The sequence below is a fragment of the Homo sapiens genome, chromosome Y, assembly GCF_000001405.40.
Source record: "Homo sapiens chromosome Y, GRCh38.p14 Primary Assembly".
Lineage (NCBI taxonomy): Eukaryota > Metazoa > Chordata > Mammalia > Primates > Hominidae > Homo > Homo sapiens.
The window spans coordinates 7,397,968-7,417,255 of NC_000024.10; positions in this window are offsets into that span (position 1 = coordinate 7,397,968).

Here is a 19,288-nt window from a genome sequence, read left to right on the forward strand (position 1 = left end):
TGACTACACTGAAATGTCCCCAATAGGCCATCTCAAATATTTACTAGTAATAACAGACCGCCTCACCCACTGGGTAGAAACCATCCCCTTCCCAAGCATAGAAGTCAGTAAGGTAGTAAAAGTACTGTTGGAACATATCATACCCAGGTTTGGACTAATAGAGAACATTGATTCAGATAATGAGACCCACTTCAGTGCACACATCGTTAAAGGACTAACCCAAGCATTAGGAATAAAATGGGAATATCATACCCCCAGCACCCACCCTCAGCAGGGAAGATACAAAGGATTAATAAAACTCTAAAAAACCACCTAACCAAATTAATCTTAGAAACCCAGTTACCATGGACAAAATGGCTTCCCATTGCCTTATCAAGAATCTGAACTGCTCCTCCAAAAGATCTTGGCCTGTCCCTTTATGAAATGCTCTATGGGCTGCCTTATCTAAATTCCACTACTGACCTTCCTACATTCAAAATAAAAGATCAGTTTCTTAAAAACTATATATTTGGTCTGTCTTCCACCCTTTCCTCCCTCAGGACTCAAGGCCTCCTCGCACAACCTCCAACACTTGAATTCCTAGTTCACCAACACCAGCCTGGGGATCACGTCCTTATCAGAAGTTGAAAAAAGGGAAAACTCCAGCCAACCTGGGAAGGACCTTACCTGTTGCTCATAACAACCAAAACAACAATTTGAGTGGCCGAAAAAGGATGGATTCATCACACATGGGTAAAAAGGGCCCCATCCTTGTGGAATCATGGACCATCACTCCAGGACCAACACCTTCCAAATTAACATTCAAAAGAGTTTAATCTGTCTCTTACTTCTCCCTCTAGTTGCCCAAGGACATTTCATTATCAATATAACCTGATCACCCTTTCCCCAAACAGTTTTCTTCATGCCTATCTTGTCATACCCTATGGAGATCTCCAAAGCCAAAGACAGCTAGCCCCTTCAGAAAAAATATATTTGCCCCAACCCTTGTAGTAAACAGTTCTCTGGGGCCAATTACTGTCCTGTACTTCTTGGGAAAATGTTCTCTGGACTACTGAGTATCAGGACTGGACCTCCACACAAGGTTTCTGCACCACTTTAAAGCCCTACGTCCTCTTTACCAAAGGAACTACCCCCTCTAATTGCCAACTCCGACAATGTAACCCAGTGCAAATCTCTATTAATGTCCCCACAATTCTAGTCATACTTTAAGATGCTTCTATGGCATGGGAAGCAATGTTGCTGGGTGGGATCCTATAGGCTACTTTGAAATGCAATTCATTCACCCTCCTCTACTTCTTACTGCCTCCTACTCCCCAAGCCCACCAAATCAAACCATTTCTCTCTCCATGCCCAGTGATAAAACCAAAGTGTTGTAGTAGAAGTCAAAAACTTAAACTCTAGCCATTGAAACCAGGTACCAAGATCCAAAGGCCTGGCTGGAATAGATTAAATATTCTGTTTACACCCTAAATAAAAGCAATTGTTACCCTTGTGCAATGGGCAGGCTAGAAACCCAAATTTTTCCTTTTCCACTCGGATAAGCTAACCAGCCAGCTATGGTCAATATGGTGGCTCTCTTTCAGCACCCCACAGCCTAGGGAAACAAGGCATGCCCTAACCTTTCACTACTGTTTCCACAAATCAAGAGTCCTGTGGGTCAGCCCACAAGGTCCATTCAGTTTCTAGGTCCCAATGCCAATTTTACCTCATGTCTGTCAGGAAAAGTTGAAAATTTGACATCCCTTGGAAATCTAATGGGGTGTAGTGATTCCAAGCCTTTCAAGAGCTCACTAATCAGTTGGCCCTTGTCCACCCCAGAGGAGATGTGTGGTGGTATTGTGGAGGACCTTTACTGGTACATTGCCAAGCAATTGGAGCAGCACTTGTGCTCTAATCCAATTGGCTATCCCTTTCACACTGGCATTTCATCCACAAGAGAATAGAGAACTAACCTGGAAAAAGAGAGAGACCTCTCACCGGTCATTTGACCCCCATATTTACATAGATGCCATCAGGGTCCCATGAGGGGTACTAAATGAATTTAAACCTCAAAATCAAATAGCCGCTGGGTTAAAATCTGTTTTGTTCTGGTGGCCAACTATGAATAAAAATGTAGACTGGAAAAACTATACACTATAATCAACAGCAATTCATCAATTATACCAGAGATGCCATCAAGGGAATCGCTGAACAGTTAGGCCCCACACATGAAATGGCCTGGGAAAATCAGATAGCCCTTGAAATGATGTTGGCAGAAAACAGTGGGGTCTGTGTCATAATTGGAGTCCAATGTTGTACTTTTATCCCAAATAATTTTACAGCCTCCAATGGAACAATCACAAAAGCCTTACAAGACCTTACCACCCTAGCAAATGAATTAGCCAAAAACTCTGGAATAGATGACCCCTTTAAGGGCCTCATGGAAAGGTGGTTTGGAAAATGGAAGGGATTCATGACCTCAATATTTACCTCCTTGGCAATTGTTACAGATGTACTTATCCTTGTGGGCTGCTGTATCATACCTTGTATTCACGGGTTAACCCAAAGACTCATAGAACCAGCTCTAACAAAAACTCCCCCTACTGCTTCCCCTTGCTACTCAGATATGCTCTTGTTCCTAGATGATCAAGAAGAGCAACAAAGCCAGATCTTGTTAAAGAAATTTGCAGAGAAAGAACTACAAAACAGAAAAGTGGGAAATTGTTGGGACAACTAAGTTCCTCTTCAAAGACTCAACTTCCTGGGAATAAGTTATACAAGTTGTAAATCAACCCTACTGTCTTCTCCCTTCTTCTCTTTTTCTCACAAATTGCACATTTACCCTATTTAGAAAAAATTTAGGTCTAAGCCAACCGGGATCAACTTTGATTGTGAGGTCCAACCCCAGCCAATAGGGGAAGGACACAGAAGCAGGGACTGCATTAGGGTTAAAAGCCCCTTCCTTTGTTCGATTTGCTCTTGCAATTGCATCAGGCACAGGCAGCACTGTTCTGCAGAAATAAAGTTGCCTTGCTGAGAAATTTTCTGTCTAATTGCTGGGGTTTTTCTTTGTAGCACTGAGCACTTGTTTCTAACACTTGTGTATACATAAGATAAAAATAGCTCTTGGGGAGATGTGCTCTGCTACATGGGTTTGTGATAAAGCATTAATTTTCCTAATTACTATATGTTGCAAGAGTTGATATTATTATATTTAAAGCAAAATTAGGAATGCCCTTGTTCTCCAGACAACAGGATGCCTCGACACTCCCAAGTCTGAGTCTGTTTCAGTAAACATCATAAGTTTGTTTTCTTAATCATAAATATCTAGAGTCTAGGAATGCCTAATTTTCTGGGACTGCAGCAAGACTCAACCTCATTTTTATAGTCCCCACTCAAAATGGAGTTGCTCTTGTTCAAATGCCTCTGACAGAAGGAGGCAGGAGATAAGAGGAGTATTGAAGGACAAAGAGATGGTGTCAGGCAACAGTCCCCAACCTTTTTGGCACCAGAAACTGTTTTTGTGGAAGACAGTTTTTTTATGGACCAGGTTGGGGGAGAGGGTTTCGGGGTGATTGAAGTGTATTGCATTTATTGTGCACTTTCTTTCTTTCTTTCTTTTCTTTTTTTTTTTTTTTTTTTTTTGCTTTTTGAGACAGATTTTCACTCTTGTTGCCCAGGCTGGAGTGCAGTGGTGTGATCTCAGTTCAATGCAACCCTCACCTCCTGGGTTCAAGAGATTCTCCTGCCTCAGTCTCCCAAGTAGCTGGGATTACAGGCATGCACCACCATGCCTGGCTAATTTTTTATATTTTCAGTGGAGGCAGGGTTTCTCCATGTTGGTCAGGCTGGTCTCGGACTCCCAATCTCAGGTGATCCACCCACCTCAGCCTCCCAGAGTGCTGAGATTACAGGCATAAGCCACTACATCTGGCTGTATTTCTATTATTATGTCATACTACCTATGAAATAATTATGTAACACAGCATCATGTAGAATCAGTGGGAGCCCTGAGCTTGTTTTCCTGCAACTAGACAGTCCTATCTGATGGTGATGGGAGACAGTAACAGATCACCAGGCATTAGATTCTTATAAGGAGAGTGCAACCTAGATCCCTTGCATGTGGAGTTCACAATAGGGTTTGAGTTCCTATGGGAATCTAATTCTGCCACGGATCTGACAGGAGGCAGAGCTCAGGCAGTAATGGGGAGCTCAGGCAAGCAATGGGGAGATGAAGCTTTGTTTGCTTACCCACAGTCACCTCCTATTATGCAGCCCAGTTTCTTTTCTTTTTTTTTTTTTTTTTTTTTTTTTGAGACGGAGTCTCGCTCTGTCGCCCAGGCCGGACTGCGGACTGCAGTGGCGCAATCTCGGCTCACTGCAAGCTCCGCTTCCCGGGTTCACGCCATTCTCCTGCCTCAGCCTCCCGAGTAGCTGGGACTACAGGCGCCCGCCACCGCGCCCGGCTAATTTTTTGTATTTTTAGTAGAGACGGGGTTTCACCTTGTTAGCCAGGATGGTCTCGATCTCCTGACCTCATGATCCACCCGCCTCGGCCTCCCAACTTGCTGGGATTACAGGCGTGAGCCACCGCGCCCGGCCCGCAGCCCAGTTTCTAACAGGCCAGGGACTGGTACCCATGTGTGGCCTAGGGCTTGGGGATCCCTGATGTGGGGCAGGAGAGAAAGAGTCGTGTGTTTATTAGAGATGTGGTTCATGCACTAGAGAGATGGAGGGGAGGAAGCAGTGAGTCCCACAGAGGAGAGGCTGTGGGTTGCAGGTGTAGTAGGGTTGACTCTGCCCTAACTTAGTGCACTCTGCAGTGGCTCCTTTTCTTTCTGTTCTCTTTCTGATCTTAGATGATGTCATTGTGGCTGAGCCTGTGCCTAAACTATATACTGCCAAAGTCTCTATTGCTGGAAGAAGATAATAATTGTATCTCTACCTTTAAAAAAAAAATTTAGTGTAAGAGAGAGAGCATGCCATAATGAATTGAATGAATTTGAAAAACTAAGCGGTTATATTACATTTCTATTTTAGGAGTTAAATCCATCCATGCATGTAAGGTGTCCAATGGTTTGATAGGGAAAGGTGGAACAAATCGAAGTAGGGGCTTCGAGGTCATAGGTAGTTATATAATGCCTATATTATTTATTTTTAAAAATTGTTTCCTTCCTCCATTTTTCCTTCTTCCTTCATCTCTCATTCCCTTCCTCCTTTCACCATTCTTTCCTTTCTTCAATTGTTCTTTTCTATCTTTTCTTTCCTTTTGTTTCTCTCAGTTCCTTTCTCTTTTTTTATTATTTTTCTTTCTTCCTGGTTTTTCTTTCTTTTTCTTTCCCTTCCTGTTTCTTTTTTCCTCTCTCTCTTCATTCCTTCCTTCCTTTGTCTTTCTTTTTTGTTTCTTTTTTCTTTCTTTCTCCTTCTCTCCCTTCTTCCTTCCCTCTCTTCCTTTCCTCCCTCCTTGCAATCTCTCCTACTCTGTCCCCCATTCTCCCTTTCTCACTTTCTTTCTTTTTGCACAATTCTACAATACAAAATAGTACAAAAGGCTGTTGTCTGTGTGAGAGTACATCTGCTGTTGTCTAGCCAAGAAACTCAACACTAACAGGGCCATCTGGGAATGAAAAGAAAGAAAACTGGGACAGCTCTTGTGTGCACTTTGGGGATGGAAGAGTGAAATGACTTCAGTAAAAATTGTTGAGTGTTTGATTGCAGGAAACAGAAGATGTCACATTGGAGAAAAGAGGGGATCTCTGGACATTCATGGGAACACCCGATTTTTATGGACATTATTTGAGGATTGAGGGGAACTTGTAGGAAGAAATAATGGAGAAACTAAAGTCTCTAGACTTCCTCTTCCTGGTTTGGAAGGGCAGGTGCTACAACTAACAAGCATCACCTAATAGAGCAGATGGGACAGGGCTGAGATGCAAAGAGGGCTTTGAAAAAAAAAGACAAGAGCCAAGCTTGGAAGAAAAAAGATAGAATTGATGGCAGCAATCAGTAATCAATAAGCTTCCCAGGAGGTCCTGCTTGCACATGACTCAGGCTTTGCTTGTTTACTTTTATTTTTTGAGAGAAGGTATTGCTCTGTTGCCCAGGCTGGAATGCAGTGGTGTGATCTCGGCCTCACTGAGACCTCCTCCTTCCTGACTCAATCAGTTCTCCTGCCTCAACCTCCAGAGTAGGTGCTACTACAGATGTGCACTACTGTGTTTTAGTAGAGACAGATTTTCACCATGTTGCCTAGGCTGGCCTCAAACTCCTGACCTCAAGTGATCCACCTGCCTCAGCCTCCAAAACTGCTGAGATTACAGGTGTGAGCCACTGCACCCAGCATCCTTTGCATTCTTATACTGAATCTTCCTCATTCCGTGTTCTTTCTCATTCTCCTGCTTTGCTCCTGGGGAGCACATCCTCCGAAAACTTACCTACACTGAAGCTTTTGTCTCATGCTTTTTTTGTGTGAGAACCCAAGCAAAAATGAAAAAGAGAATTCCCTTGCAAATTACTATACGGTAAGATACACTACCATTGAAAATATTTTTTAACTAAGCTTAACAATGCGAAACTAATTCTAAAAGATCTTTTTAAAAATACTCCTAAACAGAAGTAAGTCAATTGTAGAGGAAAAATAAAATTCAAGGAAAGGGATTTGTATAACGAATGTTACAGTATAGTGAAACATCAGAGTAGCCAGAGAATTTACGCTCCTGGTGGTGAATGTGGCTGATATGGTTTGGCTGTCCCCACCCAGATCTCATCTTGAATTTTGGTTCCTATAATTCCCATGTGTCGTAAGAGGGACGCAGTGGGAGGTAATTGAATCATGGGGGCAGTTTCCCCCATGCTGTTCTTGTGATAGTGAGTGAGTGAGTTATTACGAGATCTTATGGTTTTATAAGGGGCTTTCTCCCCTTTTGCTCAGCACCTCTCTCTCCTAACACCATGTTAAGAATGACGTGTTTGCTTCCCCTTCCTCCATGATTGTAAGTTTCCTGAGGCCTCCCCAACCCTGTGGAACTGTGAGTCAATTAAACCTTTTTCCTTTATAAATTACCCAGTCTTGGGTATGTTTTTATTAGCAGCTTGAAAACAGACTAGTATATACTAAACATAAAAATAGAACAGAATGGAATGCCCCAAGTTACTGCCTTCTCTATATGAGAAAAAGGGCATTACACATTAATAGTGAATAGCATTGTGGAAACTAATTCATTATATGAAGGAAAAGAAAGCTGAGTCTTTGTCTAATCATTCCTTAGAAGGATGATCTCTAGATGGATTCAGGACTAAAGTATTAAAGATCAAGTCATAAAATTTGTAAAAGAAAATGAAGAGGAATGCCTCTCCAGCCTTAGAAGTGGGCAAAGATTTTAAAGCAAGTTTCTAACAGCACAAATTCTTAGGTATAACATCGAGTAATTTGAAGATGTCAAAATTAAAATGTTCTATCCTGGGAAGGGTATCACGGACAAAGTTTAACAGTTGAGAGGATGACAGCAGTTCTTTGTGAAATCCAAATTTAAAAAAAAACTGAAATTATCTAGACTATAGATGGGGCTTCTTCAAAGTAATGGGAAAAAAGATGGGAAACCCTATAGAAACAAACAAAAAAAGGCAATAGGTCTGAATAGTCAATGCAAAGAAGAGTAAGCCCTATCAACAGCTAAGATCAGAGAATTGCAAATTAAAGGAACAAATGAGAGACATTTTTATACCTATAAATATTGCAAACTCTGTAAAACTGGAATATACCTAGTGTTCTCAAGAGTATGAGAGGATGGGAATTTTTCTGCTCACCTGATAAGGATGAATATTGGGATGGCTATCTGAAGAGCATTCTTGCCAGGCCTTAGCTTTCTGTGAAATAAGTGGACATCTCATGACCCAGCAATATAACTTCTTGGCATAAATCCTAGAGAAATTATAAGGTGCACCTTATAATTTCATGCATCTAGAGATGGATGAAGGGACACCTTCCAGATATTCCATGTGGCATAGAATATGAAGGTCATCTCAGGCACTCATCACTCTACAAGCTCATAAAATGTGGTAGATGCTTACCATGCACCAATAAGCAGCACAATTGTTGCATATTCAGCAACATCATTGAGTCTTTTTTTGTTTAAATTTAATATATGTATATGTTTGCATGAGTATTATAATTTAAAATATTTGTACATATTTGTGGTTACAAGAAGGTTTAAAAGCTGCTGGTTCAGAAGTCTTCCTCTTTCACCTTCCTTTTTTCACCTAATTAACACTCTTTCCCATCTTTTAAATGTCAGCTCAAATGTTACTTGCTAATGAAAGCCTTCTTCATCATACTCAGGTAGATTTTGTTCTATTGTCAATTGCTTTCTGGATTTATTTTCCTTTACTTTCAAACCTTCACCTCAGGTTGTAATTGGAATTTCATAGTGATATTGTTTGATTGCTGTTTGTTTCCCACAGCTGCCTGTGGGCTCCATGAAAATAGACTCTTTATAGCTATGTTCATCCTTGTATCCCCAGTGCCTAACACAATGCTTGAAGCATAATAGACACTTAATAAATATGTGTTAAATGAATTTGTCTTCTCATTGAATCTTCTCATATGATCTCGTTTTAGTGATATCAGCAATATTAAAACACTCCATGGGATATGATGAGCAGACAGAGGGCATCTTATTTCACTAGATGTGCAAGCTCTTCTATGAATTAACTCTTTAAACCACAAAAGCACATTCCTAGTTTTCAGAAAACTGGGACAATGATTGAATACAGATGGAATAAAAGGACTTCCCCTATTGAGACTCATAGCAGGTAAAAGTGAAATCTGACATTTATTTATTTATTTATTTATTTATTTATTTATTTATTTATTTTGAGACAGAGTATTTCTCTGTCCTACAGGCTGCCATGCAGTGGTGCAATCTCGGCTCACTGCAACCACAGCCTCCCAGGTTCAAGCGATTCTCATGCCTCAGCCTCCTGAGTAGCTGGGATTACAGTCATGTGCCACCAGGCCTGGCTAATTATTTTGTTCTTTTAGTAGAGATGGGATTTCACTATGTTGGCCAGGTTGGCCTCTAACTCCTAAGTGTGAACAAATTCATGGGGAAGTTTGAACTGGGCAGACCCCACCGCAGCTCAGCAAAGCCACTGTGACCAGACTGCCTTTCTAGATTCCCTCCTCTTCGGGCAGGGCATCTTAAAAAAAAAAAAAAAAAAAAGGAAAGCAACAGTCCCAGTCAGAGACTTATAGATAAAACCCCCACCTCCCTGGGACAGAGCACCTGGGGGAAGGGGTGGTTGTGGACTAAGCTTCAATAGACTTAACTGTCCCTGCCTGTCAGCTCTGAAGAGAGCAGTGGATCTCTCAGCACAGTATTTGAGCTCTGATAAGGGACAGATTGCCTCCTCAAGTGGGTCCCAGACTCCGAGTATCCTGACTGGGAGACACCTCACAGTAGGGGCCAACAGACATCTCATACGGGAGAGCTGTGGCTGGCATCTGGTGGGTGCCCCTCTGGGATAAGGCTTCCAGAGGAAGGAATAGGCAGCAATCCTTGCTGTTCTGTAGCCTCCCCTGGTGATACCCAGGCAAACAAGGCCTGGAGTGCACCTCCAGCAGACTCTGCAAACCTGCAGCAGAGGAGCCTGACTGTTAGAAGGAAAACTGACAAACGGAAAGGAATAGTAGCAACATCAACAAAAAGGACATCCACTCAGAGACCATATCCAAAGGTCACTGGCATCAGAGACCAAAGGTAGATAAATCCTCAAAAGTGGGGAGAAACCAGCACAAAAAGGCTGAAAACTCCAAAAACCAGAATGCCTCTTCTCCTCCAAAGGATCATAGCTCTTCATCAGCAAGGGAACAAAACTGGACAGAGAATGATTTTGATGAATTGACAGAAGTAGACTTCAGAAAGTGGAAAATAACAAACTACTCTGAGCTAAAGGAGCATGTTCTAACTCAATGGAAGGAAGCTAAGAACCTTGAAAAAAAGTTAGACAAATTGCTAACTAGAATAACCAAGTTACAGAAGAACATAAATGACCTGATGGAGCTGAAAAACATAGCATGAGAACTTTGTGAAGCATAAACAAGTGTCAATAGCCAAATCAATCAAGCAGAAGAAAGGATATCAAGGATTGAAGATCAACTCAATGAAATAAAGTGAAAAGGCAAGATTACAGTGAAAAGAAATGAACAAAGCTTTCAAGAAATATGGGACTATGTGAAAAGACCAAACGTACATTTGATAGGTGTACCTGAAAGTGACGGGAAGAATAGAACAAACTTGGAAAACACTCTTCAGAATATTTCAAGCAGAACTTCCCCAACCTAGCAAGACAGGCCAACCTTCAAATTCAGAAAATACAGAGAACATAACAAAGATACTCCTTGAGAAGAGCAACCCAAAGACACATAATTATCAGATTTACCAAGGTTGGAATGAGGGAAAGAATGTTAAGGGCAGCCAGAGAGAAAGGTCAGGTTACCCACAAGGGGAAGCCCATCAGTCTAACAGCAGATCTGTCTGCAGAAACCCTAGAAACCAGAAGACAGTGGGGGCCAATATTCAACATTCTTAAAGAAAAGAAGTTTCAATGCGGAATTTCATATCCAGCCAAACTAAGCATCCTAAATGAAGGGAAAATAAAATCCTTTACCGACAAGAAAATGCTGAGAGATTTTGTCACCATCAGAGCTGCTTTACAAGAGCACTTGATGGAAGCAATAAACATGGAAAGGAACAACCGGTACCAGCCACTGCAAAAACATACTAAATTGTAAAGCCCATTGATGTTGTGAAGAAACTGCATCAACTAATAGACAAAATAACCAGCTAGCATCATAATGGCAGGATCAAATTCACCAATAACAATATTAACCTTAAATGTAAATGGGCTAAATGCCCCAATTAAGAGACATAGACTGGAAAATTGGATAGAGTCAAGACCCATCAGTGTGCTTGCTGTATTCAGGAGACTCACCTCATGTACAAAGACACACATAGGCTCAAAATAAAGGGATAGAGGAATATTTACCAAGCAAATGGACAGAAAAAAAAAAAACAAGGGTTGCAATCCTAGTCTAGTCTCTGATAAAACACACTTTAAAACAACAAACATCAAAAGAGACAAAGAAAGGCATTACATATTGGTAAAGGGATCAATGCAACAAGAAGAGCTAACTATCCTAAATATATATGGACCCAATACAGGAGCACCCAGATTCATAAAGCAAGTTCTTAGAGACCTACAAAGAGACTTAGACTCCACACAATAATAATGGGAGACTTGAATACCCCACTGTGATTATTAGACAGATCGATGAGACAGAAAATTAACAAGGATATCCAGGACTTGAACTCAGCTCTGGACCAAGCAGACCTAATAGACATCGACAGAACTCCACCCCAAATCAACAGAATATACATTATTCTCAGCATCACATTGCACTTATTCTAAAATTGACCGCATAATTGGAAGTAAAACACTCCTCAGCAAATGCAAAAGAGTGGAAATCGTAACAGTTTCTCAGACCATAGTGCAATCAAATTAGAATTCAGAATTAAGAAACTCACTCAAAACCACACAACTACATGGAAACGGCACGAACTGCTCCTGATTGACTACTAGGTAAATAACAAAATGAAGGCAGAAATAAAGATGTTCTTTGAAACCAGTGAGAAGAAAGAGGCAATGTACCAGAATTTTCATTATTGCAAAATAACTGCTAAAAACTGTAGTGAATATGCTTTATTGCTTCTTTATAGCTAAGCCTTTTCTTGCCTTCACAAGAAGATATAGCAGAAAGTTTCTGGGAAGACCCCAGTTCATATTTCTACTATTTAGTGTGCCTGGTATTCACACTATTATAAGGTCTAAACTGGAGATCACTATTAAAAGAATTCTCAGCCGGGTGTGGTGGCTCAGTCTTGTAATCCCAGCACTTTGGGAGGCCGAGGCAGGCAGATCACTTGTTAGGAGTTTGAGACATCATTGAGTCTTGCAAACATTTTTATTGAGTTAGTGACGTGAAGAACCAGAATGCCATTTATAGCACAATACCATTTCTCTAAATGAAAAACATACACTCATAAGGCAACACTATCAATTTTACAAACAACAGGCATAGTTAAGGGCCACGTGTCAAACAGATTTCATGAGGGGACTGTGAGTTTCCAGGAGTGGGGATCTGGGGGTGAATTGGGAAGAAACATATTAACAAGGAAAGGGTCTTGCCATAGGTGATGGTGATTGTGAATAAGAAGCACAGTCAACTCAACTCTTGCTACTGATATCCAAATTGAAAGAACCACCAAAAAAGTATGAATAATTAGGATTTAGCCAGGTGAACACAAAGGGGTAGGGAAGAAAAGAAGGGTATATAATTGGTTTGAGATTAGAAACAACATCCTGGATATACTTCAAGGTTTATTCACTTTGGTATTACCACCATTCACAGCTGGATAATCCTTTGTCCTGAGGGACTAGCCTGTGCCTTCTAGGGTTTTGAGCAGCATCCCTGGGCTCTACCCACCAGATGCTACTAGCACCCCAAATGTGAAAGCCAAAACTCTCTCCAGAAAGTGTTTCCTGTCCTCTGTGGGTGATGGAGAGGAAATCTCTCCTGTTGGGGATGCCCAATAGAGGAAAATCAAGATGACATAAAGAGAGGAGACTGAAGAGTAAAGTCTTGGGTGTCTTACAAAAAACTTGGGATTTTATTTTGAACCATCTACAGAGTCCCAAGAGGGGATTTTATCAGATTGGCATTGGGAAGTGTTGCCTGAGTGCTTAGAGCTCTTCAATCACTTGAGGTCACGTTTCCCTTTTCTACCCAGATAAAAGATCTGAAGTCATTCCATTGCAACAGGGACTTTTTCATGACCTTCCCAATATTTCCAAGGCTATCTGGAAGCGGATTTTGGCAGCAGTGGCACTTATATTCTCCAAGACACGTTCTCTCCAAATTCTGCCTCTTGGCGCAACCACTACGCCCTTCCTTCCTCCTTCATACTATCTGTGTTCAGAAGCCTGCCTTCGTCATTCCCCTTGTTTCTGTTTGTCCCTTCTTTGTTAAACCTGTAGACATTACATTCTTGTTAGTAATACAGTGAGAGCACCATAGACATCACAACACGAACACCAGAATTTGCTGATTGTAAAACTCCCTTCACTATTCCTGTCAAGGGGAATCACTCCATGGTTCTTTTTCTTTAAGACCTGGGGTGCTGTTGCCATCCTGATCTCTCTATTTGAGGTTCTTTCCCATTTACCTTCTCCTCTTTCAAGGACTGCTGCCAGGCAACAACCCCCAAATTCCTTGGCTCTATTAGGGATGGCAATTCTGCTCCCTTCTGATGCATTTCCTGACATAGACACTGGGATACACATGTTAGGTTTACCTTTCTTCCCTTCTGTATTGGTCTGTTTTCATACTGCTATAAAGAACTGCCTAACACTGGGTAATTTATAAAGGAAAGAGGTTTAATTGACTCACAGTCCACATGGCTGAGGAGGACTCCAGAAACTTACAATCATGGAGGAAGGGGAAGCAGGCACCTTCTTCACAAGGTGGCAGGAAGGAGAAGTGCTGAGTGAAGGGGGAAGAGCCCCTTATAAAACCATCAGATCTCATGAGAACTGACTCATTATCATAAGAACAGCATGGCAGAAATCATCCCCACAATCCAATTACCCACCTTGTCTCTCCTTGACATGTGGGAATTATGGGGATTACAATTCAAGATGAGATTTGGGTGGGGACACAAAGCCTAGCCATATCACCTTCCCTCTTCTGTCTCTGCTGGTCCTAATCTTACAAATTTAGGTGGCAGATGGGGAACGGAGAAAGCCAACAGAAGAGTGACATCATGGGACATACATGAAGATATGGTACAACCTTCAAAAACAGGAGAAAAGAGGAAATGCACAGGGGAGTGTGTATCAAGTGGAAAGAAGCTGAGCATTTTTTACATGTGTGTGGCTTGGGGGAGGCAGATATGCAGAGCTGAGGTCATTACCCAGTAGTTGTGGGCAAAACAGGGCTTGCCAGCCTATATATGTGGTTTTTGAAGTGCTGAATTCTCCAAAATGTAATAAGAATTTGTGAATTATAAAACTGTTGTATTGGGTGATTTCCCTTAAAAAAATCCCACCATCTCTGGCTGACATCCTGGAGTAAGAACTGTCAGTTAAAATTGATTCAGTGTGATTCAGCATGCAGTTCTAAATATTAGCATTTACACCTACATCTCCTTAGCCCACACTGCCTCAGCCATTAACTCACTGGCTAGACATCTGAGTGTGAAAATCCTCAGCCACTCCCATTCGCTATCCAGAGTTTATCAATGTGAACTTGCATATTAGCTCATTATTTTAGAATTTAAAATGTTGCCTTTCTATCATAATTACTTGTATCATGTGCCTTAAGGTTTCAAAATTAATGCATCTTGTCATATCTTCAAATTCATTGGGCTGCTTTCATCTGTTGACTTAGGTCTTCCATCAATTCAAGAAACTTTTATTTCTTTTTGTGATTTCTTTTGGTTGAATATACTTGTCTTCTGGGATAACTTTTTTTTATATATTCTTGCTGAACAACAAACCTATTATTTCATTACATTAAACTGTTCTCTTGATTTTGAACTTCCTGAGTTTTCTTCCATTTCTCAGCCTTGATATTCTGCAGGATATAATCTGACATTTGCCACTTCCTAAGAAAATTTATCCACATCAGTGTAGGTTTTCTTGTCTATGCATTTCACCATAATTTAGTAAATTTTGCATGCTTTCACAATAAACCTTTTCAGAAATAGCAATTTGTCTTTATTCCCGGAGTCCTCTTCCCTCTTTCGGATGAGCGGTAGTTTTTCCTCTGTTGACAGGATTGGTTAAAAAGGAAGGTTAGTGGAGTGGAAGTAACTCAGAAAACCATTGTTCTTTTTCTTTCCTTTCCTTTTTTTTTTTTTTTTTTTTTTTTTTGACAGAGTCTCATTCTGTCATCCAGGCTGGAGTGCAGTGGCACAGTCTCAGCTCACTGCAGCCTCCACCTCCCAGTTTCAAGCAATTCTCCTGAGTAGCTGGAATTACAGGCGCTGCCACCACACCTGGCTAATTTTTGTATTTTTGGTAGAGACAGGGTTTCACCATGTTGGCCAGGCTGGTCTCAAACTCCTGACCTCAAGTGGTCTGCCTTCCTTGGCCTCCCAAAGTGCTAGGATTACAGGTGTGAATGACAGCACCTGAGCCATTGTTCTTTTTCTAGTCTTCTGATTGTGTGAATGTTCACCCCATGGTCAATCCTTCATTGCAATTCCTTGGGCATTAGTGAGAATCCATTTTATTTCTCTTTTCTGCATTTCCCCCAACTCTGCCAGCTTTCTTGGTCCATTTGGGCTGCAATTATAAATTTCCATAGACTGGAAATATATAAACAATAGAAATTTATTTCTCACACTTCTGGAGGCTGGAAGTTCAAGATTAATGTGACAGAAAATTTGGTATGTGATCAAGGTTCTCTCCTTCAGAGATGGTGCCTTCTTGCTGTGTCCTTCCATGACGGAAGGGACAAAGGAGCTCTCTCTGGAGTCCCTTTTATAAGGGCACTAGTCTCATTCATATAGCTCCACCCTCAGGATCTCATGACCTCCCAAAAGCCCCATCTCCTAACACCATCTCCTTGGGAATTAAGATTTCAACATCTGAATCTTGGGGTAACACAAACTTTCAGACCATAGCACTGGTTTACTGCTCTTTAGGATTAGAGGAAAGTGGTTTGCAGATTACTTCTCCATAACCCTTCATTTTCTTTCTGCCAAATTCTGAATGGGGTAAATTCTGTGAAGTTTGGGTAATATTGTGGCATTCTGCCTAATGACATGGGTTTTCTTGGAGATCTGTGGGTTTATATGCCCAGTCTCCTGCTACCATCCTACCTAGAAGTTTGTTCATATTTTTACATGAATGTTTATTTATATTACATATGGAAATTGTATTCTTATTTTTATTCAGTGCCCAAAATACAGTAGAAAGCCCCAAACATTTGTCTCTTAATTTAACTTAGAAAAGACATTTTATTTCCAGAATGAGACAAATTTTATTTGCTCTAGAAGTAGCACCAACGCTTCTTAGTGCTATCTGCTTTTCCAATATTTCTTTCTTTCTTTTTTTTTTTTTTTTTTTTTTGAGACAGAGTCTTGCTCTGTCACCCATGGTAGAGTGCAGTGGTGTGATCGTGGCTCACCACAATCTCTGCCTCCTGGGTTCAAGTGATTCTCCTGCCTCAGCCTCCCAAGTAGCTGGTATTATGGGCATGTGCCACTGCAGCCAGCTAGTTTTTATATTTTTAGTATAGATGGGGTTTCACTATGTTGGCCAGGCTGGTGTTGAACTCCTCACCTCAACTGATGTGCCTCACTCGGCCTTCCAAAGTGCTGGGATTACAGGCATGAACCACTGTGCCTGGCCTTTTCCAATATTTTTTATTAAATCTTTTACAGTTTTTATAAAACGTTCAACTCCAAAAGAAATAAATAACAGAATTTTAAAAATTCTATGGTGCAAATAAACAACATACTGATGAAACATTCTGCCTTCAAACATATATATCTCATGAGTTCATTTTTGTTTATTTCCACTCTGACCATTTTAGTTTAAGCTTGCATCCTCAGCTTCCTGGCTGTACTGGAAGAACTGCCTGTTCCTCTCATTATAAATTTCTCCAAACTATTCATCACTCATAATACATCAAAGCCTTTGAAATCATAAGTTACTCTCTATAATCTCTTCTTTTTGCATTTAGAATAATAATAATAATAATAATAAAATAACAATAAACTACCAACACTTTTCCAAGTCTCACAAAGCCCTATATAATCCTGTCTTTGTCCAACCTTCTGGCTCACACTGTGCCACTCCTCTTTTGTTCCCAGAGGAAAGGTAATTTTCTTGAACAGTAAATAACAGACAAGATGAATGGGAAAATATCCCATTACACTCTTATGCCCAAAACAGAAAATATGACAAGTTTTAATGAGATCCCTCTGGCTAAAAGGTTGCTAATGATAATGAAAACAAAAGGGGAAATTACTTCAACACATGCAATTTGCTAAAGAGAAAAATAAAAAAAAATTTTCAAGAATATTCTTTTATCCAAATTGATGCAATATAGACGTAATTTGGCGTGTCCAATGCAGTGACCTCTGTGGGCCAAGACACTGAAATGAAGACCATGGGAAAAAGAGCTCCAGGGCTGGATCCCTGAAAAAATGATTTCACAACATATAAATGTGGTTTATGCCTTTAACCGCAAACAGCTGTCTCCTACAGCTGTCCCCCTCCAACCAATGGGTGATGGTCAGTGGCTTGCAAATCCTAGGTGTGGTTTGTTCAGACAAGGGCATCTATCTGAGTTTATTACAAACTCATCTTAGGAGGGGCAAAGGCCATATTGAAACAGAAAGCCCCAATATCCAAGAGGCCGCTTTCAAATATTTCCCCACCTTGGCTTTTGTGTTGTTACCACAGATTTTATTTACCTAAGAATGGCTTCCGCAGCACCATCTGTTTGCCTATCAATTGCAACACTAGGGCATGAAGCCTGCACACATCTTTCATCGATGTTGCGGAAGGCTCCCAATTGCACAAAAACTTGAATGAATTCCCTACGCCGGAAAATCTGAAAATGTGGATTCTCATTTGCAGAAAGAAGCGTGCATTGCTAGATATTATCAATACAAAAACTGAAATCCACAAAAACATTTCAAAAGGCTATTTGTACAGGAGTCATCTATGACCAGTAATGCTGGTTTTTAGGGATGGAAAACGTTCTTGCATTCTCAAGCACAGCACATTCTTCTTTCTTTCAAGAAGGGAACATTTAGGAGAGACTGCCCAAGTTAACTGGGCTTTTGCTCATCTAACCTATAGGAAGTTCCTTGGGGCTTGTGAAATGATTAATAAATGCAATGAAAACAAGCAAATATGTAAGGTATGGGTTTCAAAAATACAATTATGTAGAATCAGGTTTATAAATATTGCTCAGCAGCATGGCTCATGCCTGTAATCCCAACATTTTGGGAAGTCAAGGTGGGAAGATGGCTTCAGCCCAGGGGTTCTAGACCAGCCTGGGCAACATAGTGAGGCCCCATCTCTACTAAAAATTAAAATGAAAAAAATAGCTGGGCATGGTGGGACATGCCAATGGTCCTAGCTACTTACAAGGCTGAGGCAGGAGGATTGCTTGAGCCCAGGAGTTCAAGGCTGCAGTGAGCTATGATTATGCCACTGCACTGCAGCCTGGGTGACAAGAATGAGACCCTGTCTCCAGAAAAATTTAAAAATAAATAAATAAAAAGGTTTATAGAGATAGAAGAAGGCAAGTTGTTTGGAATACAATTATTTCCCTTTAGCATTTTCTCTCAGTTTTTTAATGGTTTTGATATAGGATGTGCTAAATACGTTAACTTCCATGTTCAACATATTAACATATGAGAATCATTTCCTTAAAGCAAAGGGAAATAAGAACCATAGCATGTTGGCATGTGTCCTCAGTTCACAAAGAACATACATTTCACCGTTCAAAACATGTGACATTGAAACAACACAAGCAGCCTGCATTCTTAGCTGTGTTTGCACCTGCTCATAAACCCACAGAACTGGAAGGCAATGTAGCAAACACACAGTCAAACCTCCCACAAGGCCTGTGAGCAGTGTTCACTAAAATCAGCATGGCTTGAGTTATAGGTACCTGTTTTGAAATTTGGTTGGCCTCCCAAGTTATGGAACGGAATATGTTTGCATAGGTTTATAGAACAATAGGACTAGGAAAAAAACTCAGGCCAAGCCATGTTTTTCCTAATTCTGTCTAGGAATAAATGCATGAATCCTAAAATGCTTTCAAGACTTTGCAGTGTTACAATTTCTTATTAGGAGCTTGGACTTCTAATCACTTTCAAAAGATGTCTCAAGTGTCATGGCTGATCCAATAGAGGTCAAAACACAAAACAAGCTTAAAGAAAGCAAAAACCTGTCTACAATAGCTTAAGATTCAGTGTAGAAGTAATACTTTAAAATATATTTAGCAGTTCGAGACCTGACATGGCAACATGGTGAAACCATATCTCTGTAAAAAAAATACAAATTAGCTGGCATGATGGTGAGTGTCTGTGGTCTCAGCTGCTGGGGAGGCTGAGATGAGAGAATCAACTGAGGCCCCAGAGGTTGAGGCTGCATTAAGCTGTGATTGTGCCATTGCACTGCAGCCTAGATGAGTGAGACCCTGTCTCAAAATATATATATA